The sequence below is a fragment of the Homo sapiens genome, chromosome 3, assembly GCF_000001405.40.
Source record: "Homo sapiens chromosome 3, GRCh38.p14 Primary Assembly".
Classification (NCBI taxonomy): domain Eukaryota; kingdom Metazoa; phylum Chordata; class Mammalia; order Primates; family Hominidae; genus Homo; species Homo sapiens.
In genome coordinates this window covers 97,022,855-97,049,417 of record NC_000003.12, presented here as the reverse complement: position 1 = coordinate 97,049,417, position 26,563 = coordinate 97,022,855, and the positions used below count along the sequence as shown (strand labels likewise).

Below are 26,563 nucleotides of genomic sequence, written 5' to 3'. Positions count from 1 at the left end.
TTCTATGGGATTCACCAAATTAACAGTCATACATGTTCCAAATTAAATTGCCAGGATAACGTTCACTGTTCTCAGGTGCTTCTTCTAGTAAAGTCCTAACTGTTCTCACTGCTTCCTCTTTGTTCCATTCAATCTATTTTCAAAACAGTAGCCAGAGAGATGCTGTTAACAAACAAGTCAGACCATAACACTTATCTGATCAAATTTCTCCAATGTATCTTATGTGCCATGAAGTAAAAACCAAAGCCTTTACATTTCACTGGCCTTACATAGGAGGTGCACTCCAGTACCTCTCTGACCTTGTCGCCCACTCACTCAATCCCCCAAGCCCCACTGGCCCTGATGTTCTTCCGATATGCTTCTGTCTCAGGACATTTGTTCTTGCCATTCCTTCAAACAAGAAAGACTATTTCCAAAATATCCCAGGGGACTCCCTCACCTCCTTCGTGTCTTTACTTAAATATCATCTTCAGAATGAGACCTTTTCTGATCAGTTTACATAAAACTGCACATCCCCCTGCTCCCCAAATCTCACACTTCCTATTCTCTCTTCATTGCTTCACGTTTTTCTGCAGCATTTGTTTTTTAATGTATTATAAGTTGTATTTGTGGGTTTTGTTAATTATCTTTCTCTCCTCCTCATTTAAATAAGGTCTTTAAAAGCAGGGATTTTGCACAGTTTTGTTCACTATTTTATCTCCATTACTTGCCAATCAATGGATATTGGTTAAATTAATAATTTTTCCATGTACAAATATTACAGATCTAATGACCCCTGTGGTTTTTCTCACATCAATCCCACCCATCACTAATGTCACAGCTCAGAAAGAAATTCTATTTTGTTAGAATTATTGTCTTCCTTACAATGTCTCTCACTAATCTAATACATCATACATTCTCCTGCAAGAATAATCTTTATGTTCAATTACATTCAATTCCATTGTTTAATAAATGAAGCCCCAAATCTGTAACAAGGCATTCAAGATAATTTTAATTTGATCCCTAGATGTCACATTTAAGCCATTTGTGACGATGTATCTCAATTTCTCACCTCTATGCCTTTTGTTCACATGCAGTGTCTTCACCTGCAACCATTCTCACTCCACTCCGTTTACTAAACCCTACCCTTCCAACAAGCCACTGCCCAACTACTATATTCTTAGTGAATTATTCTCCCAGTCAAAAATAATTCTCTCAAAAGATTCAGCCTTAGCATGATTTGATATGCTTGTCATAGCTTTTCTATTAGTTTTCAAGAACTTTATCTAAAGCAACAAAATAAATCTTCATCTTGGGCAGATGTTATGTTTGTTTTATTGAATTATTTATATGTTCCATATTTGAATTCTTCTTGATTTTAATAAAATTGTTTTATATGTTTATCAACTGTATTGATCAAACTAAAACATGATATTTCTATGAGTAGAGCTATATAATATATATTTGAGAATTCTATTAAAGTAGACATTGATCCATTATTGAACAATCCTGGAACTTCATTTGTCAATAATGCCATTGTGAATGACTGCCAAATGTCTTGCTCAAATCGACATCAACTACAGCATTTCTCCAGTATTTCCTTCAGAAGGAAAATAACCCATGTCTTGATATGGTTTTTAGTGCAATTATTACTCCAATGCTCATTGCTTCTTTCATTCCAACTGAAGTTATACAATCCACTTATTTAGTACTCTGTACTACTATTTTACAAATATTAATATTTTACAAATATTAATATTTTACAAATATTAGATTTCAAGCAAATTTCACTGCAGATTTAATTTTTAAAAGATAATCTGTACAAAGTTTTCCTATTTCCAGACTTCAGGCACATAATATAAACTACCCATCCCTTATATAAGATGTAGATAGTATTTCCACTTCTCTTCTGGTTTCTTTTTTTTTTTTTTTTTTTTTTGAGACAGAGTCTCACTCTGTTGCCCAGGCTGGAGTGCAGTGGTGCGATCTCTGCTCACTGCAAGCTCCACCTCCTGGGTTCATGCCATTATCCTGCCTCAGCCTCCCTAGTAGGTGGGACCACAGGTGCCCACCACCACGCCCAGCTAATTTTTTGTATTTTTAGTAGAGACGGGGTTTCACCATGTTAGCCAGGATGGTCTTGATCTCCTGACCTCATGATCCACCCGCCTTGGCCTCCCAAAGTGCTGGGATTACAGGCATGAGCCACTGTGCCCGGCCCCTGGTTTCTTATATCTTACAGAAATTTATTATTAAATAAATCAATATGTTTAGTATTTTTTAATAGCTTATCCTGCCAGGTTTCAGAAATCCATATACACCCTATCATTATACCATATACAAATTCAAATCCAGGTTGATAAAAAGAGAATATAAAAATCAAATACTTAAAAATATTTAAAAGAATATACTATCTATGATGATAGGGTACATATGGATTTCCTAAACAAGACTGAGAAAAACACATTATCAATAAAAATTTTAAACTGAATTAGTCATTTAGACAATTCTTGTATTAGTTTATTAATGATATACATTCATCCATTTTAGTATTGAAGTTTTTCATCTATGTAAATGGTAATTTAAGTTTTAGTTTTTGATCTTTAATAAAGTTTTGTGATTATTTTCTAAAATTTTTGCAGGACATTTTTCCTAGGCCCCTATGCTTTTTAATGATATTATTAAATGGAATTTTCTTTCAATTATAATTTTCAATTGTTTCTTGTTGGGAGATAGAATTACTACTGGCTTTTGTAAATTGGTTGTGTTCAGTGATATGCTGAATTCTATTATTGATTTGGATAGCTTATTCTTTATCTTGGATTTTCTACACAGATAATAATATCTCTAAATAACAATTTTATTTCCTTTCCATTCTTAAATGTTTTCCATCTGTAGAATGAGTGCATCAAACAAATCGTTGAACAAAGTAGTGGTAGTGGGCATCTTGTCATGTCTTTCAATTCTTCTAAACTTTCACAATGAAGTATGTTTTTTGAATATATCCTTTACTGTTTTAAGGACATTGTGTTCTATTTTTACTTTGCCAACAGTTTTTACCATGGGTAGGTGTTAAAATCTATCAAAGGAATTTTCTGCATCTATTGAAATGATCATATTTCTCCTTTAATTGGCTAAGGTGATGAATTATATAAAAAGATTTTATGTTAAAATATCCTTCAATCCATGGGATAAATCCAACCAGGTCATGCTGCATTCGTTTTTGCACATCATTGTGCTTAAGCTTCTGTTTTCTTTAGGACTATGATGTCCTTGTTCAAATATAAAAATGGTTTGATTTGTCCTTTTTATACTACCCTTGTGTAAAGTAGGTGTTAAGCTTATTAGCTGTATAAGTTAGGAAGAATCTCTCTTTTTCTAATCAATAGAGGAATTTGCATAAAATAGAGATTTTCTGTGTCTTGAGGACTTTAATACCTCCCTAGAACATTCATTTCCAGACTCCTGGCTATCTGTTTTACACTATGATTTCAAATCTTCAATATTTCCACCTTCCAACACTCTCAGCTGGTTACTTTGCTTCTTATTATATTGTGAAAATGAAATAAATAAAAAAGAATGGCGACAAAATCTCACCATGATATGTACCCACATACCTACATATGTACCCACCATTTCAAGAAGGGCAGTGGTCAAACATTGCTGACAAACACATAATCATTTTAAAATCACTACTTTTCAAAAAACGTACAAAGTATGTTGTCTCTGTGTAACGGGACTATGAGGAATTGGTAGTTTTCACTATATTTTATAAAATTTCCAAAGCAATGAAATTACTTATTTCAGTTTCTGAGATTTATCTATTTTTGTGTAACTTATGATGATTTCTTTTGAGTATTTAACTAGCTTTCTTTTTACTTAGAAAAGGAACAATCAACCTTTCTTTCTATTGAAAGAAAGAACAATTTTCTTTCTTTCCCAGGAAGGAAAGAAAAAAAATGAAATGAGTAAAGCAGTTTAGAGATTTGTACGCTTCATAAAAAGACTATGTCAGATAAGTGTTGATTACGTGATTTTTGCTCTATGCTATTTACGGCAATTTTATCATTTTGTGACATACCGATCCTTCTTAATCATATTGCAATTAGCTTTGCATGTAGCCATCTGTCAGGGAGATAATCTTGACTGAACTATATAATGATACAAAATACCAGTATCAGATATTTTCTTTAACATGCTAGATTTGAGAAAGAGAAACTATGTTTTTTAACTATACATTACTGAATTTTATCTTTACTAGATGATATTTTAGATCACCAAATATCACTTAAAGTCTTAAAAACGGCACAGTTTATTAAAATATTTGCATCCATATTTAACTACAGACTAAGTTCAAAGTGTCTCATAGAATACCAGATATTAAAATAAATCAATAACTACATATTTGAATTTAAACATTCAAATTGATATAATACTTCACAATAAAGTTTTCTTCTACTAATTTATCCATATGAGAAGAGTTCTTTTCCTTAGACTTTCTAAAGACAGATTTTTATTTGAGTTAAACAAAGTTCTTTGTATTTATCTTAATGCATATACTTTGTTTTAAAAAAAGTTGGTGACCAAGTTTTTATAGTTTACCTCCACTTTTTTCATTCCATTTACTATATCTCTGTATTCTAATGTACAGTTCAATTATTATTTGAAAGTCAGAAGCCAATTGAGTCGGTGTCCCGCATACAAATCCAGAGATTTTTTTTTTTCCTAGAACATAGTTGTTTGGTTAATTGATCCCTTTATTTTTTATCCTCTCCTTCAATGTTTCCTTTCTTCCCTTTGTTATTTTGTTCCTTCCCTCTTTTATTAGTTAAACATTTTGATGGGTATCTTTATGTTAGGCCAGGTTTTAAAGAACCAGGCAAATGAGAAGGACATGGTTGGTAAAATCTGAGAACATTAATAGCAATTCATTCCTCATCACTTATCAGATGTTTCACCTTAAGAAAGTTGTAGGATAATTCTAACTATCATTTTCTTATGCAAAAATGGTTTTGAGCCTTCCTGCCTTACACAACATAGAGGGTTAAAGGCAATCATGTCTGTAAAAGCACAAAGCATCATACCTGGTATATACAGGTTGATTAGTCAAAAGTTAATTTCATTTTCTTGCTTGAAGTGTTTGATTAATGCAGAAATAATTACATCCAATGTGAAATATTATAAAGCTGTGTTATAAACAAGATGCTAAAGAAACACAGAAGAAAAAAATGCCTAAATCTTTCTGCAAAAATAGATTATAATATTTGGCTGAATCCTAAAACATAAAAAGGACTTTGTCACATGTAGAAAGCCTGAGCAGGTATTCTAGGTTTGGAAAGCATCATCTGTACATGTATGAAGGATAAAACTCTACTGACTGTATGGAGATCATCCATTGGCTGAAAGGCCATACATTGGAGAAATAGAGAGAGATGATGTAGGAAAATAGTCTATGAAGAACCATGAGTGCCCTGCTAAACATTTTAGTTCTGCATATATTTGGGATTTCCAACCAGTGTGGACAAATTCCTTCAGCCATCAGGGCTTTTGGGCAGGGTCTGGGGCAGCCCTGGGGGTCAATCACTTGTAGCAATAAATAGAGGCATTAGGACCTCAGTGTGCTGAACAGATATATTTCTTTGTATGACAATATATTCAAAAGACTGGGAAACATCTCTATAGATCTTAAAATAAATATTTTGGTTTTTATACTTGCTAAATTTTAGATGCTTCCTATCTTGGCTAGTATTAGAAAAGGCAATGATCACTGAGGAATCAGACAAGCAAAAGCCCTAACTAAAGATTACGCAGCTCACTCAGGGTGGGAGGGTGGAAGTGAAGTGATCCAGCTGTGGAGCCTGCTTTGAAAAGGTCCACAACACTGCTGCTTCTGCAGTTTGGTACAAGATCCGTTAGTGTTCTCTTAGTATTTCCTAAAGAGCATCAGCATAGAAAATGCCCTTATTCTTGGCAAGGTTTTCCAGGGTTCCTGATACATGAAGTGACCCACTGATGTTTTCCAAGTGTCCATTATATTCCTGCTCAGAGGATTAAGGTACCTTTCTGGGACATGTGGCCTTATAAAGTTCCAGAAAGAGAGAATGGGCAGCTCAGGTTTGGATATATACAGCTGACTACCTGTCCCTATCAAGGGAGAGTTGGTCTGTGTGTGGAGCTACCACTGAGATATTACATCTTCTCTCTGGTCCTATATTAGGACTGAGGCCTTAGCTGTCTTTCCTTTGGTTCAGGAAATACAGAAGGGAAGACCGCTGAGTCAATTTCCACATATTTAGGGATTTCAAAAACAAAGCATTAAAGTTCAGACTTTCTTTCCTGGGGGAAAAAAGGAATGATAGGATTAAACAAAAAAGATAAAATACAAGATCAGAGAATTACTTATATGAGTCAGTGGTTTGCAATAAGACAGTTGCTTCACTTTGCCACTCTGTTATTAAGGCTACCTTTCTGCTACCTAGTCTGCTCTAAGGGCTCACCTGATGAGATCAAGCTGGCAGGGAGCTACAGTGCTGGGCCAAGTCACCACAACAGGTTCTAGACTGCCTGCTGCAGAGAATGTGAGTGGTTAGGTGGTGGTCAAGATTTTATTTTGAACTGTTTATACATGGGGCAGTATGTCTGATCTTCTTGCTCTGATATGGATGGAGCTAAGTGTATGCTCTTCTACTCATAGCCTAGTGAGAGATTCAAAAAGTCCACAGCCCCTCCTGCTGAGTAACCTTGCCTGCTATAGCGAAAGCAGGGGAGTTCTCTAATGGTTGGAACCACGGCTAGATCTACAGGGAGGCGAGCACCGAGCATTGAGTCCTAAGAGAGTCCTGAGACATAGAGATGTGTAACAAATATTAGCAATAGGTACAATCCTTTTCAAAGAGTTAGGTGCTCAAAATTTCAATAATTTGGGCTGAGATAAGAACCACACTGTATGAGGGCATTTTTGCATTGCTAGAAAGAAATACCTGAGACTGGGTAATTTATAAAGAAAATAAATTTAATTGGCTAACAGTTCTGCAGGCTGTACAGGAAGCATGAGCCTGGGCATCTGCTCAGCTTCTGATGAGGCCTCTGGAAGCTTAAAATCATAGTGGAAGGTGCAGGGGAAGCAGGCACGTAACAGCAAAAGCAGGAAAAAGGGAGAGAGCACGAGTGGGAGAGGGTGCCACATACTTTTAAACGACCAGATCTCCTAAGAACTATCATGAAGTCGGCATTAAGCCATTAATAAGGGATCCACCCCCAGGACCCAATCACCTCCTACCAGGCCCCAGTTCTAGCACTGAGGATTACAATTCAACATAAGATTTGGGCGGAGACAAATATGCAAACATTATCACACACTACCTCAGGAATGGGATCCAGATCTTTGATATTATACCCTGGACAACTATGACATATCTCTAGGACCAAGGCCATTAAGGTTTGTCTCACTGAGGTATCAGGTACTGACATGGTTTGGATTTGTGTCCCTACCCAAATCTTATGTTGAATTGTAATTTGTAGTGTTGGAGGAGGGGCCTAAGGGGAGGTGATTAGATCACTGGGGAGGATTTTCCCCTTGCTGTTCGCATGATAGTGAGTGAGTTCTCAGGAGATCCGGTTGTTTAAAAGTGTGTAGCCCTCTCCCTTCACTCTCTCTCCCTTTTTCTCTGGCCATATAAGACTTTCCTGCTTCCCCTTCACCTTCTGCCATGACTGTACGTTTCCTAAGGCCTCCCAGCTATGCTTCCTGAGGAAGTGTGAGTAAATTAACCCTCTTTTCTTTATAAATTACCCAGTCTCAGGTAGTCTTTTAATAGCGATGTGAGAATAGACTACAGGTTGGTATAGGTACCAACTCAGTAATTAAAAAGGCAAACATCTGGATTGAAATACAGTCAAACATAAATATGTGGATTTTGGAGCAGGCAGTCATAGAAAGGACACCCTTTCATAGGAGGTTTGTATCTGAGTTATAACAGGGCAAAATTCTCCTAAATGACACAATTCACCTTACAGCATTACAAGACAGCAGTCAGTGCTTCCAGGAATAATGTCCAATAGACCCCAAATTTTCAGTTCCATCTATACACTCCAGGCTTTAAATCAGAGGGACAAGGACTGGCAAAACCAGGAAAGATATCTGATTTCAAGGGATAAATAAATGGTCAAGTGGCAATTACATATGAAAGTAGGGGATAAATGCTCTAAAAAAAGGTGTATCTGTAATGCTGTGAGAATGCACAGGAAGACTGAGAAAACTGACCCCACAGAGTTGGAATAATTGATTTCGTTGTTTTTGACTAGGACTGTTAGTACAGAGGAAAGAAAACAAAAGAAAAACAAAAACTACAAACAGTACGCTAATTCATCTCAAACTTTTATAAACAAGCAAACTAATTCATCTCAAACTTTTATAAACAAGCAAAAGTAGAAATAAGTACCTAGGGAGGAAGAAAATAAATGAAAAAGATTGTCTGGATAAGGGTAAAGATTCCTATAATTTTTGAGTAAATAGGTCCTTTGGTGTTACATTCCCTTTAAAAGTGTCAGTATTAAATTCTAAACATCAGAATTAACAATATTTTTACCACTGATATGTAAAATTTTGAATCTATGGGCATACATAGTAAAAGAAGAGGGCAAATGGTTAATTTCCTCACTCCATGGTAAACAACTGCATCATTGCTTTGCTGTTGCAGATTATGAAATAAATTATCTCTGAAGAATTTGACATAGCCAAAGAATAAAACTATTTTATTTCAGGAATCATCTCTAGGGAGAATATGAATGCTTGGATCATTATAGCTATGTTAAAATCAATTTGGATTGATCAGAGAAAGAGAGTTGAAATAATAATATAGAAAACACTCCAAGGAATTCAAGTTCCCACAGCATGAAGAATTCATAATAAGCTTTTCTATCCTTAAGACCAAAGGCCATGATAAATTGAAAATGGCTTACACACCTTAATAAAGATCTATTATCTTTTGTTTGTTTCTCACTTTTAAAACCGATTTTGATATGAAATCTCAGATATAATGAAGTTGTTTTATGTTATGAAACATGATCTATATTTAGGATATTAATTCAAAGTCCTTCTCAGAAAACCCATTTTATAATACTAACTCTTTTATGCTGAATATATTTCAGTGTCTCTCCATACTTGAGACTTAAGACACACAGGGAAAGTATCTAAAATTTATTTAAAATAAAGGCAATAACAGTTAAGAATGCTTAAATCCAGGATTCCAAGTGGACATCAATAATTGAGTGCTGATAAATATAAGTATTTGTAATAAATAGCAAAATTACTATCATTATTATAATTAATCATTATAATAATCATTATTTTATCATTAATAATTATCATTATTATAATTAGCAGGTATGATTCTCACTCAATTTAACTACCAGTTTTCTTACTGGAGTCAATAGTATGTCTCAAACAACAGGATGATAGGTCCAGTTTTAAGTTGTTCAGTTATTTTTCTCAGTTCTGAGTCATGTTTCTTCTTCATTGTCTTCTGCACTTTTATTGAACTTAGTAGTATAAAGGTTACGAGGGCTGGCTTTGAGACTGCAATTTGCTCAGTGTCCAATTATATTACAAGGACTTACTGCCTAACAACTTACTTCGAAGTGTCCCCTTGCTGTAACAAAACATCAGGATTAAAAGCTGTAAACTTGTGGCAAACAATTGTCAGTTTTCAAACTCTTTACTGCCGAATACATGTAAATTTTACATAAACATTCATTGAAAAACCATCTTATTTCTCCAGAATATTTGAAATTACAAGCTAAAAGTAAAATGCCCCAAATTAAGATATTTTAAAAATAAAACAAAACTACATATACTCATAATATTCCACTTTCTCCCAATTAAAAAAAAAAGTTCCATGACTCTCATAATCTATTCCAACTAACTATATCTCTTCTACATAATTTTTCTATGGATGCTAATTTACTTCTTCATTTCCCATTCATTCTTCAATCTACTCCAACAGGCTTGTGTCTACCACTCTCCAAATTATATTTTAAAGTCATCTGAATTCTATAAATTGAAATTCCGATGAACCACTCTCAAATTTCATTTTAACTCACATTTTTTGCAGCATTCTATGTAGCTGAACATGTTTAAACTGTTTTTCTCCCTTCATACTTCCTACACTATCATTTTCTCTCCTTTATTAACTTCCTCTTTCTAGTCTCCTTCTTCCTAAATGTTTACAGTTTGCCAACTTATATGTTGAGTCTTAGGCCTTCTTGTTTTCCTGCCCTCCCTAACTGAGCACATCCATTGCCATATTTTGTCTATGTTGTTGATAATAAGATAAACATTTCCAGCCCATTTAGGCTGTTAGGTACAACTCCTTTAAATGTCTCACTGCAGACATTTTCCAGTTTCAAAATGGCAGCAAGAAAGCAAGTTGGCTTCAATCCCCTGCACAGAAAACCAAAACCGAATATACAGTGCCTAGATTATCACCAGAAATATCTGAGAGTCAAATTTGAAGAAGAGAGTTCCTGGGGCTACAGAAAAGTGAAAAAACTCTGAACACACAGGAAGGAAATCAGACTTCCATATCTGCGATGCCCTTCTCTCCAATCTGCCTGACACCTAGCAGGTGGAACATTTCCCCCCGACTCACAATTTCCACACTGGAAAAAAAGTAAGACTGAAGTAGACAACCAGCTTCCCCACTGGGCTCCCTGACAGGAGTCTGGTCCCTGCCTACACCCAAAGAAAGCACTGCAAGTGTCTGAAGAGACAAATATTCCCGAGGACAGCCAGAGACAAAGGGGGATGATGGGACTACCACGCTTAGTCCTGAAAACTCTGCTCTTTAAATCAGATATGGAAGCAACCTCATTGCCTATCAGTGAATGAATGGATAAAGAAAATGTGTCACATATACACAATAGACTATTATTCAGCCATAAAAATACATAAAATCATGTCATTTGCCGCAACATGGATGGAACTGTAGGTCACTATGGTAAGTGAAATAAGCCAAGCACAGATAGACAAATATTGCATGTTTTCACTAATAATTTGAAGTGTAAAAATTGGACTTCACGAAGACAGAGAATGGACTGGTGGTTACCACAGTCCAGGAAGCATGGGGGGGGAAAGGATGAAGAGGGATTGATTAATCTGCAACAACAAACACTGTGATAAAAGAAATAAGACTTAGTGTTCAAAAGAGCAGCAGGATTATTATAGCTAACAATAATATATTATGCATTTCAACATAGCTAGATGAGAATAATTTGAATGTTCCTAGCATAACGAAAAGATAAATATTTAACATGAAGGATATCCCAATTACTCTGAGTTGATATTTGTACATTATATGAATGTATAAACATATCTCATGTACTCTCAAAATATATACATTATGTATCAATAAAAAATTGCAATCCTTAAACATGTTTGGTACTCTCAATGAATAAATAAATAAATAAATGCCTCACTACAATTTCATATTTAACATGCTCACAATGAAACTCATTTTTTCCTAGTTTTTCACTATCTTTTGCCATCATACCCTTGTTTTATCACACTTTCTCCTCTTACCCAACATTCAATGCTTCTGCAAACATTATTTTCCATGCCCTGAATTACCACATTGAATCATCTGCAAATATTAGCTTAGACATATATCCTCTTGTATGTCACTGCCTTTATTCTGTCCAGTATGACGTGTCAACCAGTATGTGACAACAGATTGTTTCCTGCTTCCTTTCTTTCCTCTTATGATCCGCTCTCCTCTTTTCAAATTATATCACCTTCCACTCTCAGCATTTATGATCCTTTAGTGTTTTCCCACTGCATGTAGAGCAAAACTCAAACTCTCTAGTATGGCATTTAATCTTGTGTGATCTTACCTTTCTTTTCAACTTTATCTCTTCCCTCAATCACCTTTACTCACTATACTGCTGACACATCAGTATTCTCTTGCAAATGTCAAACATATCCTGCCTAAAAGACTGCATATGATGATATTCTCTCTGCTGTTGTACTTTATTAGTAGCCCTTTCATGTTTGTTCAGGTTTCAGTCAAACCGCCATCTACTTAAAGTTAAGTCTTTCTTGACTACCCTAAGTTTAGACCTCTAGTTATCCTCTGTTTTATAAGTCATAGAAATTTCCAAGAGTTAATGTGATTTGTATATAAGTATGTTTGTATTTGTGTGTATGTGCATACTTCCCACGTTGAAATATAAGGTCCTTAAAGGCAAAGACCATGTTTGTATTATCATTTTCTTCTTAGCAAATAGCATAGATATGAATCATAGTAAGTGCTTTAATAAATTTGGATAAGAAATTTACCATCTAGTTTGTTCAAATACACCTTTTAAGTCAACGGTAGTTTTAATTTTTTTAGTAAACAAACATTTTGCCTCATTAGTATACTTAAAAAGGAAGGGGTCTGACCTTTTGAACCTCTCATATTAGTCCATCAATGGCCATGGAATTCTCCAGGGGTCGGCGAGTCACATAACTGACCTAGTAGCTCCCAGTCAATGGCAACTTTTAGAGAAGGGAGCAGCTGTGAGCTATCAGCAGCCAACAATCAGCACTGAGGGATGGGTACAATTGCTCAGTACTGAAATACAGGAAGAGGATCTAAAGTGCCCATTACATATACCTTTTCATTTAATGATTGTCACAATCATCTAGGAAGATTATTAACCATATTTTATGGTGATGAAAGTAAATGTAAAATGTTAAGTGATTAGTTCAAGGGAAAACTCCAGCAAAGGGTACTGCCTAGAATAGAGCTCAAGAATGTCACTTGAAAACTAGGACTCTTCTCCTTTGAACTGAATCCTTCTTTGTGTATACAAAGGGACTCAAATAGAAGAACGTCCAAGTTGGGAGAAAAAAACAATTGACTTAGCTGTCAGGGTCATCTTTTTAAGCTAGGTAAGAAAATTGCCAGAAAGATTAAAATGCAAAAAACACTCACAGCTCAGTTTTTAATAATGATTTTGCTCTGCTCATCATGAAGAAAATAACAACATTAATAATGGGGATACTAATAGTTATTATACTATTTGGTGTTTATTATATGCCTTTCTTTGAAATCTTTGAAAGCATTTTCATATTTAGTCCTCTCTTTGGCCTAATACTATTTCTATAAAATAGGAATTGACCAAAAATAGAACAAGACAGAAACTGATTTAAAGAATCAAAGACATAATTCACACTTTATTTTTCAAATCACCCTTTATGGTAGTCTGTTTTAGCTATAATAAAAATATCATAGGCTGGGTGGCTTATAAACAACAAAAATGTGTATTTCACAGTTCGGGAGGCTGAGAAGCACAAGATCGAGGCACTGGCATATTCGGTATTTGGTGAGGGCCTGCTTCCTTGTTCATAAATGGCTACCTTCTTGTATCCTCACAAGGCAGATGGGACAAGGAAGCATTCTGGAGCCTCTTTTATGAGGGCACTAATCCCATTCATGAGAGTTCATTTCTTCATGACCTAATTACCTCTTAAAGGCCCCACCTCCAAATATCATCACACTGAGAATCCGATTTCCACATATGAGGTTTTGGGGAAATACATTCCGTCCACAACATCCTAATTAATAAAATACAATAAATATTAAATGAAAGCACTATCATATATTTTACCATAGCAAAGAAACATTCAGATACATTATAAATGACTAACATATCAAGATATATTATCAAGTCAAGGTAACTCAAGAAGCAGAGATCTCCGACAATAAATGAAGAACCATCAGTCTTTACATGTAAGAAGTTGAAAATATAAAGAAAATTATTTTCAAATATGGAGTACGCTACAAAAATCCTATAGTGTTGAAGGCCAAAATCTCAAAAATAGAACTGTAAGTAGGGAAGAATTTTATCATTAAGGAAGTAATAGCAAAGAATCAAAAAACAAGCAATACTTACAATACTAGAAGGAGCATATCACTGTTTCAAAATATAGTTGAGGAGATATTGAAAAAAAGAAGAATGATAAGAGGGCACTATGTAAAAAGTCCTAGTGTCTATTAAAGTTATGTACCACCAAAACCTACTTCTCATCTGTCCCATTTTACCCAAAAGGGAAATTTTATCTGCAAAGCATCCTGGTGAGAGACTTGCAGAAAAGGTAAGGTACTTAATATAGCATAAGAAAAAAGAAGACAGGGGAAAAGGGAGCTGAGAGGAGTTAGATAAAATAACAGTGGAAATTGCTGGAGTGCTTGTGTACTTCTTTTCAGGAAAACTGGGTGGTTTTGACCTATAATAATGACCCCATATAAATATTTCACATGCTTCTAATAGGATTTCGCTTATTTCTAAAAGGAGTTTTGGAGAAACTCTAAAAAATCTTAATTGAGAGCAAAACAAAGTCAGGGTGTTAAAAAGAAGGAATAGGATTTAAATCTACTTTTAAATTATTCTTAGAAGTTTGGCAGAATATTCTGGAACTATTGTATGTAAAAATATGGTTACCATTTTATTTCTTTCAAAAGAATTTTTACCAAACAGTATAATGATAAAGGAAGTTTTCAAACTGTTGTGTGAGGAACCTTAATTGCTCTGAGGTCTCAGAAAAGTTCAAAAGGAAGTACAAGAGGACCTCTCCCGTGATTTCTATATCGTAGTTCCATGAACAATTCAATCTGGAACATAGAAACAGTACTCTGTATGTGTATGTGTGTGTGTGCACATAACCATTTCAGTAGACTGCTTATGCTAATTTGAAAACAACTGGTATAGGCAATATGCTAAAAATAATACCTAAACCTGGGTGATGTTAAGCAATCAGGTAAAGGAAAATCCAAAAAGTCATCTGTTCAGACACAACTGAGTTCTTGATGTTTTAAAAAATAATTTATAGCTGGAGGTGACTTTAAGCAAGGGATACAACCTTCAAAAGAACACATTTGTCAATAGAGAAATTGAAAGAGATTCATTAGATGAACAAACTGCTCACAATGGTGTTTTCATGGACAGTAAAAGAATTATATATTAAGTCTATAACACTGAAAATATTGAGATTGTGATCATGTACAGCCATGGCACTGATAATTGCAAAGATTGTAAAACTCTCCCCAAGGAACAGAAGCAGAATTTAGTTTGCCCAGATCTGTTCACATTAACATCACATTGGAGGTCAGAAAGTACAAAATTCATCACTAAGATCAAACTGTTTTTCATAGAAACATGAAACTATAATCCAAAAATTACTATATTTTCATTTTTATCAGAATAATTTGATTATGTCAGTTGAGTAAAGAATGCTTAAATACAACCTTGTCAAGAAAGTTTCTTTTTCCCTAAAGTTCCCATGTTCCTAAAGTTATATTCCCAATTAGACTGTAGACTTAGAATATATTTTATAATGTGACACAGATGGGCAGATTGTGGTCAGCAATAAGTTTAAAAAATAAATTAAACAGACTACTAAGGTAAACCCTTTCAAATCCAAAGTCTGAGGTTTTGTTATTGTTTTAGCTCAGAACAATTCTCAGAAAATATTGTTTGATTTCTAAAACCACAACGGCCTGATGTATCCTTTTCTATATCAAGTTTTCATTACTTGACAAAAGAGGTATTATAATTTGGGGGGTGATTAGACATAACAGCATTTTATAGTCTTGAACTATACAGCTTTAATTTGGGGCTCTTATCAAATACATGGTCTACTTGAATCTCAATTTCATTTCCATAGAATGAACATTAATTTATTATTTGTCTCTCACTTTTGGAAGTAAGGATTCGTTTTTAAATCTGAGTTGACATTCCTCATCATCTTTTATTGTTACTAGGTTAAGAATATGTGCAATTTTCTATAGAGGATGTTCAGCATTCTAATACTCTTATCAGCCAAACACTATCATACAGCTACCACTTTTTATGAGTAAAACCAGAATGTTTTCATTTGTTTGCTCACTAGTGATCTTTAAATAATTTGTTTTGAATATCTCTATGTGAATTTTCTTAAAGATCCATGATATATGTGGATAAATTCAGAGTGTTACTTCATTCTTTACTCGTGCTGACCGACTGACCAGCTTCTCACCTATACCACTAAAATTAGTTTGGAAATTTTCCTAGGTTAAATTTTGTCTACATTATTTTCTACAAGTTTTTTACAACTTAGAATAATTTGATTACTATCAGTACACACTTAGAATGCTTTAACTACAATCATTGTGATTAAAAATGCAATTTCAATAAAGTGGTACACATAGTAAAGCTTAAATTGTTATACCCTAAGCCATCTCATAACAACCTTTCCAAGAGTACCGAGTCTCCAGCAGCCTCCTCATAATACCGCTTGCTCAGGATTCCCTGTATTCCTCGGTTGTGGTACTGGTATACTTCCTTTTTTTTTTCTTTCTTTTTTTCCACATTTGGGAAGGTTTCATATTGCCTAGTCCAGCACTCAGTTAATGTGACTCTGATTCCCATACCCTACCTGAAGAGTGCATTGTGACATGATTTTGGCACAATATTTAAGTGGTGTTAACTCCCTGCCTAGTTTTTGCTCACAAACAAGACTATGACATATACTTTACTTCAGTTCACCGGCATGATTGTCCATCTTATATTGCGATTCAGCCGATAAAAAATATTTTGCCTTTTATCGCTAGGCTTAGGGCAATAGGTAAGGTCTGGGGTTGAATATTTGTACCAAGCTCACAGAACTTTACAACAGTACCTCATAGTGTGTAAACTCCTTGGGTGGTACAGAGAGTTTCATGACAAGAATCAGCAAGAAGTTCAGATTAGAATTCTCGATTACACACACAGGTGAAAGTAAATACTTTTATCACTTCGTATTTCAAAAGCCCACTCTTAAGGTCCTGAGTCTAACAAGTAAATACACAAAATAGGAATTGTGACCTTCATGTGTGGATCTGGCCACAGTTAAGATAGTGACTCATATTTGGATCTAGCTCGCAAGCAAAATAATGGGTCTCATCCTTTTTTTTATTCTTTTTATTTTATTATTATACTTTAAGTTTTAGGGTACATGTGCACAACGTGCAGGTTTGTTACATAGGTACACATGTGCCATGTTGGTGTGCTGCACCCATTAACTCGTCATTTAGCATTAGGTATATCTCCTAATGCTTTCCCTCCCCTCTTCTCCCACCCCACAACAGTCCCTGGTGTGTGATGTTCCCCTTCCTGTGTCCAAGTTGTTCTCATTGTTCAATTCCCACCTATGAGTGAGAACACGCGGTGTTTGGTTTTTTGTCCTTGCGATAGTTTTCTGAGAATGATGGTTTCCAGCTTCATCCATGTTCCTACAAAGGACATGAACTCATCCTTTTTTATGGCTGCATAGTATTCCATGGTGTATATGTGCCACATTTTCTTAATCCAGTCTATCATTGTTGGACATTTGGCTTGGTTCCAAGTCTTTGCTATTGTGAATAGTGCCACAATAAACATACGTGTGCATGTGTCTTTATAGCAGCATAATTTATAATCCTTTGGGTATATACCCAGTAACGGGATGGCTGGGTCAAATGGTATTTCTAGTTCTAGATTCCTGATGAATCGCCACACTGACTTCCACAATGGTTGAACTAGTTTACAGTCCCACCAACAGTGTAAAAGTGTTCCTATTTCTCCACATCCTCTCCAGCACCTGTTGTTTCCTGACTTTTTAATGATCGCCATTCTAAATGGTGTGAGATGGTATCTCATTGTGGTTTTGATTTGCATTTCTCTGATGGCCAGTGATGATGAGCAATTTTTCATGCATTTTTTGGCTGCATATATGTCTTCTTTTGAGAAGTGTCTGTTCATGTCCTTTGCCCACTTTTTGATGGGGTTGTTTGTTTTTTTCTTGTAAACTTGTTTGAGTTCATTGTAGATTCTGGGTATTAGCCCTTTGTCAGATGAGTAGGTTGCAAAAATTTTCTCCCATTCTGTAACTTGCCTGTTCACTCTGATGGTGGTTTCTTTTGCTGTGTAGAAGCTCTTTAGTTTAATTAGATCCCATTTGTCAATTTTGGCTTTTGTTGCCATTGCTTTTGGTGTTTTAGACATGAAGTCCTTGCCCATGCCTATGTCCTGAATGGTATTGCCTAGGTTTTCTTCTAGGGTTTTTATGGTTTTACGTCTAACATTTAAGTCTTTAATCCATCTTGAATTAATTTTTGTATACGGTGTAAGGAATGGATCCAGTTTCAGCTTTCTACCTATGGCTAGCCAGTTTTCCCAGCACCATTTATTAAATAGGGAATCCTTTCCCCATTGCTTGTTTTTGTCAAGTTTGTCAAAGATCAGATAGTTGTAGATATGCAGCATTATTTCTCAGGGCTCTGTTCTATTCCATTGGCCTATATCTCTGTTTTGGTACCGGTACTGGTACACTTCTAAAAAATTCTTAACTTTTCTTCAAATTTTCACAGTCACTCCTCCCCTGAATAACTTATATAATAAGGATGACCTCATAATTATGATCAATCGGTATTCTTTAACTCTTTGAATTTAAATTGGCCAACTCAAACATTAGTATGTTAAATAACACACATGCATTTTTCCTAAGAAATTACACACACACCCACACAACTTCATAGTTTATGGCGATAGAAAAACTCTCATAATTTATCTCATCATTACAAATAGTATACATGATTCTTAAGACATCATATTCATAGTAGATATAAATTTGTATTCTGCTTCTATTCTTCAATTTTAGCAATAATATTTCACCCACTAGATACTTTTCTAATTAATTCCTTGCATTTACAAACTCCTCATTAAAACAAATTTAGTGGAGTAATTTATGAGGTAATAATTATGCACCACACACATCTCTACACCCAAGTTCTAAGAAGTAGCCAAGCTCACTAAAAAGATTATGCTAGATATTCTGGAAGGGGAAGAGAGGTTAGGAGAACTTTAGTGGCTAAGGAAAAGGAGGAGAAAAAAGTTAGAGACTAAAGGGGTTACAGAAGTAGGGGAGACATAACCCGTGCTCTATGGCTCTAACTCTGGATGACGGCAAGACATCAAAGGAATTGCTACCTGGAACACCAAATAGGCTAGCTTCTAGGTAGAGTGTACCTCATGTCCTCCAAAGATGGCCTTTCTCAGAGAGTGGCAGGAACATAGCAGATCTCTGAATGCTACAGGCTGGAATGGGGTCCAGTGTGAACTAATGGCAAATGATTTGATGAGTGTCCCTGATTCATAGGTATTAAGTTAGGCTTCAGCAACTTGGCACAATTTGGTGAAGTCAGTAGTAATAACTCAAGTTAAATTTCTGCCTTCTCAGCAAATACGTAAAAAATAGATTCAACTGATTTGGAGAAAGGAAAGATATTTTTTGCACAGCTGAATATCTGGACTAAGATTCAAAACTACTAGAATAACCTACTCAGAAAAGAAAGTCTTTTTGCATGTCACTTTATCCTTCTGGATCATTCTATTGACAATCTCATAAGAGCAAAACTGGTATGTCAAAGGGTAAGTATATTTTTGATGAACCTGGAGACGCAGTACCAAATTGCTTATCCAAAAGTCTGACCAACTGATACTGCCACCATCTTCATAGATTTCAATGATACCAGTATTGTTAATTTTTTGGGTTTCATTTTATTTTTTAATCCATTGGTTAATAAAAATAGTGCCTTCATATTTTCTTTATTTACTTCAAAACTAAAGAAGTGAAACTATTGTTCTTGTTCTTTAAATAAACTTTGATGAGATATGATTGCTGCAAAATGCAGCCAATTTGATGAATACACAATTCAATAAATTTTGATGAAACCACCACAACAGAGTTACAAAATATTACTATCACCCCCATTAATTTCTTTTCCTCTTTGCAATTCATTTGTCCCTACATACTCTGCTCCAGTTAACTACTGGTCTGCTTTCTGTCAGAATAGTTTACATTTTCTAAATATTTATGTATCATTCATTATGTATTATTTTGTGCTTCAGTATGTATTTTTTTCTAGCTTTTCTCTTTCAGCATAATTCTTATTGAGAATTAGTATTTCTCTTACATAAACTATTTTAGGCCTTTTCCTCATTTATCTTCAAATAAATTTAAAAATGGTCTTTATTAAAATAAATTTATTAAAAACATCACAGGGGATTTAAACTTTTAAAATTTTTATGTAATTTATATGTAATTATATAATAATTTTTACTTTTATAACTTGATCTTACTAGAAGCTGTAATAAAACTGGAATTTAGAAAATAATTTTTACCAAATTACTCTGTTTATATCTAGCTAACTCAATATTTTAACAAAGAAAATAATATTTACTAACTTTTGTTTCTACATTTAGTCAAAATGTGGAGTAGGCTATTCCATGCATATTAGAATTTTATTGTTATTTTGCAAGAACTGTTAACTTTAATTCCAATTTTGATATACTTAAGTCGATGTTCTAACTTTTGTTTTTATTTTATGAAATTCCAATATTTCATTTCCTTCTTGTTTATAAATGTTTGAAGCTATTATATCCAATGATTAAAAGAAAAAGGAAGACATATATTAACTCTGAGGTGAATGTTCATCTTCAAGCAAAAAGGTTTGCTTACACTTAAAAACATTTAACAGATCAAGAATTAAACAAAAATTATCAAATGACATAATGTTCATATTTTACTATGATCCATAAGAATATAAATATTTTATTAATAAGTTGTATTAATGAGAAATCATATTTCACTTATACCATTTTTAATTACAGCATCTTATTAGGATATTAAAATTAAATAACATCTATAAACAGCACATGAATAATGATTTTCCAGCTTTAATAAACTGAAAAATCATCACCATTACTTTTTAAACTCTATTAGAGATAACATTTGATTGTGAAGATCATGGTACTTGTTCCTTAAAAATCAATTTTGCAATTTTTTTCCTTGGAAAGAGAAAGAGAAAGGATATTCCACAGCTAACCACCATAGCAGATAATGTTTCTGAATGTTTTAAGTAATCGCAACTGTAACTTCCCATTTTGATATCCATAGTGATCATACCACCTATTAAAGAAGACAAAAGAAAGGAAGACACTTTTATTGAGCTCCTATTATTACAGCTACTATATTCAATATTTAATCTATATTGTCTCATTTAATCCTCCCCAAACAGTCATAAAGCAGAAATATTATCTTCATCTTGCAAATGGGGATACTGTTATTTAAAGTGGTTAAATTCTACAAATTCACCAGGGAAATTAAAGCAGTAATTTAGTTCTGCCCTCTATATAGCTAGTTACTAAATCAGTCTTTGGGTTTCTCCTCTCTATATAAACAAAACCAGTTTCTTCAGTCACTTCTAGATGGTCCAGTCAAGTATTGTTAATCCTACCCTCCGCATGCTTTTATTTCCCACTTTTGGAACTTCAAAATAAAACATCAAAATTCTTAAATGATGCCAAAGTTGTTTAAAGTGCCAGAGAGTAATAAAAGAAAATTCGGCTATTGACAGTTTTAAAGGGAATTCTAGACACGCAATTCCACCTTGGGGACCAGGATACGGGAATTTGGAGTAAGTCTGAAGGAAGAAAATTTGTGTCCCAATTGCATATCATTCTTGATTAAGAACTATTAGAAACAGAAATAGGTCATCAGTAAGATAATTTACTCCAACTTCCTAATAGTAGTTACGGCCACAAAGGGATGTTAATAAAAATAGACATTTTTTTAAAAGGCAGTATGCCCCTGGGAAAGAAACTATTTCCTCGCAGTTATAAAAGGAACTGAGACTGTTATAAAGCATTAAAAGTTTGAGTTTGGGACATTAAACAGCAACTGGATTCACTTATTTTCAGATACTTCATTAACCTGTTAATGTCTATTCATGCCAATTCTTAGCAGACTAAAAATAGCTAAAATCCTACTGACACTAGTATTCTTCAAGAAGAATCAACACATTCTATTGTAAAAAGTACATCTGTTTCCTTTTTTTCCCTTGGAGGTGTTTTTTTCCTTGGAGGTGGCTTATCTTCTAGTGGCTACTCTTTTTTTAACATTTTAATTTTAGGGTTACAGGTACAGTTTTATTACATAGGTAAACTTGTGTCATAGGGGTTTGTTGTACAGATTATTTCATCACCGAGGTATTAAGCCTAGTACTCATTACTTGTGATTCCTGATCCTCTCCCTCCTCTAACCCTCCACCCTCTGAGAGGCCCCAGTGTGTGTTGTTCCCCTGTATGTGCCCATGTGTTCTCATAATTTAGCTCCCACTTATAAGTGAGAACATGCGGTATTTAGTTTTCTGTTCCTGTGTTAGTTTGCTAAGGATAATGGCCTCCAGCTCCATCCAAATCCTTGCAAAGAACATAATTGCATTCCTTTTTATGGCTACGTTGTATTCCATGGTGTACATGTACCACGTTTTCTTTATCCAGTCTATCACTGATGGGCATTTAGATTGATTCCATGTCTTTGCTATTGTGAACAGTGCTGTAATGAACATACACATTCATGTGACTTTATAATAGAATGATTTATATTCCTTTGAGTATATACCCAGTAATGAGATTACTGGGTTGAATGGTATTTTTGTCTTTAGGTCTTTGAAGAATCACCACAGTGTCTTCCACAATGGATGAACTAATTTACACTCTCACTAGCAGTGTATAAATATGATTTCTTTTTTCTCCACAACCTCGCTAGCATCTATTATTTTTTACTTCTTAATAGTAGCCATTCTGACTGGTGATAGGTGGTATCTCCTTGTAGTTTTTGATTTGCATTTCTCTAATGACTGGTGATGTTGAGCTTTCTTTCTATTGGCCACATGTATGTCTTCTTTTGAAAAGTGTCTATTCATGTCCTTTGCCTAATTTTTTATGGGGTTGTCTTCTTGTAAATTTCTTTAAGTTCTTTACAAATGCAGGATATTAGACTTACAGCCAAGTCACAGACAATTTGCCACTCACAACTACCACACAAAAAAAGACGAAAATACTTAGGAATATGGCTAAGTCAAAAGGTGAAAGATCTCTGCAAGGAGAACTACAAACCACTGCTCAAAGAAATAAGAGATGACACAAACATTCCATGCTCATGGATAGGAAGAATCAACTGGTAAAACGGCCATATTGCCCAAAGCAATTTATAGATTCAATGCTATTCCCATTAAACTATCATTAACATTCTTCACAGAACTAGAAAAAAGGATTCTAAAATTCATCTGGAACCAAAAAGAGCCCGATTGGCCATGGCAATCCGAAGCAAAAAGAACAAAGCTGGAGGCATCACACTACCCTACTTCAAACTATACTACAGTGCTCCAGTAACCAAAACAGCATGGTACTGGTAAAAAAAAAAAAAAAAAAAAAATCAGACACATAGACCAGTGGGACAGAATAGAGAACCCATAAATAAAACCACACACTTAAAACTATCTGAACTTCAACAAACCTGATAAAAACAAGAAAAGCAACAAGACAAGCATTTCCTATTCAATAAATGGTGCTGGGAGAACTGGCTAGCCATAGGCGGAAGATTGAAACTGGACCCCCACCTTACACCACATACAAAAATTAACTCAAGATGGATAAAGACTTAAATGTAGGCCAGGTGTGGTGGCTCAGACCTGAAATCCCAGCACTTTGGGAGGCTGAGGAGGGCAGATCATGACGTCAGGGAGATCGAGACCATCCTGGTCAACAGAGTGAAACCCCATCTCTACTAAAAATACAAAGATTAGCTGGGTGTGGTGGTGTGCACCTGCAGTCCCAGCTACTCGGGAGGCTGAGGCAGAAGAATTGCTTGAACCCAGGAGGCAGAGGTTGCAGTGAGCGGAGATCGCGCCACTGCACACTAGCCTGGCGAAAGAGTGAGACTGTTTTTAAAAAATAAAAAAGACTTAAATGTAAAACCATAAATACCACTGAGGACATAGGCACGGGCAAAGATTTCATGAAGACACTGAAAGCAATTGCAACAAAAGCAAAAACTAGGATATAATTAATGAAAAGAGCTTCTGCATAACAAAAGAAACTGTTAACAGAATGAACAGACAACCTACAGAATTTTTAGTAACTATGCATCTGGCAAAAGACTAGTATAAAATTTTTCTACCCAAAGTACTAATATCAGAGACTTTTTAAACTCAACTCTTTCATTAATCCTATTTACTCATTCTCTCTCTCTCTCCCTTTCTCTTCCTGTCTCACTCTTCCCTAATAGTTTTAAATTACTTTTTATTAAAAAAGTGTTGAAATGTTGCATAATAATGGTGAGTGCTTACGAAGTGAGAGGTGCTTTACTAAATCTCCTATGTACATTATCTCATTTAATCCTCATAAAAATCTCATGACATAGGTATTGCTCTCTCTCCTATATTGTAGTGCTTGAACAGCTTGCCCTGTGAGTGGCAAAACTGAGCTTAGAACTCAGTCAATCTGAAATCCAGAGCCTGCATGCCTCATCAATAAATTACATTGCCCCCTCTTTACATTACATATACAGAGGCAGCATTTCCATTAAATCATAACTAACTTCTTACATGGGTTTATTATTATACAAAAACTATTTTAATTTTTCAGGTTTTTGGAAACCAGATAGTTTGTCACTAAATGGTAGTTTTTGTTTTGTTTTTCCATATTTTTCAAGTAAAAAAATAAGAATCAAGAGTCACTTAAAATAATCTAACACTAAAATAGGAAGGAAAAAATATCCAGGAAGTAATAAGGGAACGGCTTTGCAAATGTTAACTCTTTGCAGGAAGAAACTGTGTCCAATATGTTCAATGAAATATCTTTAAATACAACACTTGGCTCATAGAAAGTGTGAGTTAAAAAAACCATGTAAACATGATTCTTGATTTCTTGATTTTGAAAATTGGGACATTTTCTTCTGTGCTTTAGATTCTGAGTTTTAGCTTCTCAAAGAATAAAGTAAACAACAAATAGCTCTCTGTTCCTTTCATGCTTTATTCAAATTCTTCATGTTTGGGAACTTAAAGTGTTTAACTCTCTTTAGAATTTCTTTCAGATCAATTAGATATAAAATGTCAGGGTATGTGCATTAATTCTAAAGCTAAAAATTTACTTATTCATTACACTAGTAAGAGTCATAAAATGGCATGTTCTTTACATGAAATCACAGCAAGCTACAATAAAGACATATTAATCATATCTTACCACCTCTTCCCATGACTGAGATCAATGCATTATTTGGGCATTAGTGGTTTCAAATAAAAGTAAAAATTTAAACATATGAGAAATATTTACATATTTTGCCATTTGAAAAAAAGATATGGTTGAGAAGTAAGACTGTATTCCATTTACTGCTCTACTCTTATACTAGGTCTCAATAGAGTAAGAATAACAGATGGGAACATAGGGTATATTTATTTGTATTAGGACTTTAATGTGCAAATTATTGTTCTAAAAGAATGAGAAATGAACTGACCACTAGATCATCTCATAACAATTCCTCTAAGTAAAAAGAGAAAAAAATACAGAAACAGAAACGGAGATTGTGAATTCTGTGAGGAATAAGCCTTGACATTTTATTTTCCTATGTAATGTACTCAAATGCAAAATATTGCTTCCATTAAAATGCATAAAAATCAATTTCAGAGTATGAAGTGTAAATGTTGCAGCAGATTCATTCCGCTAATCTTACGGATGATTCTTTACTCAGGATGATGTTTGTCTTTATGCATAATTGAATTTTACAACTCTTCAGCAGAGAAAATAAGTTATTTCCTTATTGGAGGATTTTAAATCTAAATGAATATAAATAGGAAATAGTTTTAAAAGAAACATTGTAAAATAGTAAAAAAAAAAAAATTTAACATTTTACTTCTAAAGGTCATATACTATAAAGTTGAAAACCTATTTTCCCTGATAATAGATATTAGTCTTGTTTGCTAATATTATATCTAACATATAACTAAGTAAATATATATAGTAGCAAAATAAGAACATGAAAAAAATCTTAGAAGGTAAATTATAAAGATAAAAATAAATAAGAATAAAGTACTTGAAATTGAAATAATATTCTGGTTAGGGACAATCTCTCATGAGAAATAATTTCAAATTTGAAAAAGAGATGTAAAGACAAAACAAAGGGCCGAGAGCGGTGGCTCAAGCCTGTAATCCCAGCACTTTGGGAGGCCAAGGCAGGCAGATCATGAGGTCAGGAGATCGAGACCATCCTGGCTAACTCAGTGAAACCCTGTCTCTACTAAAAATACAAAAAAATTAGCCAGGTGTGGTGGCATGTGCCTGTAGTCCCAGCTACCCAGGAGGTTGAGGCAGGAGAATTGCTTGAAAACAGGAGGTGGAGCTTTCAGTGAGCCAAGATCGCGCCACTGCACTCCAGCCTGGGCAACAGAATGAGACTCCATCTCAGAAACAAAAAAGAGTTAGTGAGGCATTGGATCCACAGATACTTTATTGCTGCCCCGGCATGAAAGCAATGACCAACAGAGAGATGGAGGTGCTAAGATAAGGAATTCTGGTAATTAACTTGTCCTCCTATTTGATGAAGCAAGGATATGAACTACTCTTGGGCATGATGGATGTAAATAATGCTGCTGTGCTCAAGCTGGCCTGCTAATACTCATTCAGGCAGAAAACAAAGAAAAGGTAT

At 34.6% G+C, this 26,563-nt stretch overlaps 1 protein-coding gene and 1 long non-coding RNA gene across 13 annotated transcripts in view; both read right to left on the bottom strand.

The window, feature by feature from the left end:
• EPHA6 (EPH receptor A6) overlaps positions 1-26,563 on the bottom strand; it is a 946,939-nt gene that overhangs the window by 712,115 nt on the left and 208,261 nt on the right. The gene's annotated exons all lie outside the window — the stretch shown is intronic.
• Positions 13,167-26,067, bottom strand: LOC107986103 (uncharacterized). The gene is made up of 2 exons (XR_001740810.2): positions 16,250-26,067; positions 13,167-13,576 (listed from the first exon to the last, which is right to left on the bottom strand). It is a non-coding gene; the product is annotated as an uncharacterized LOC107986103 (long non-coding RNA).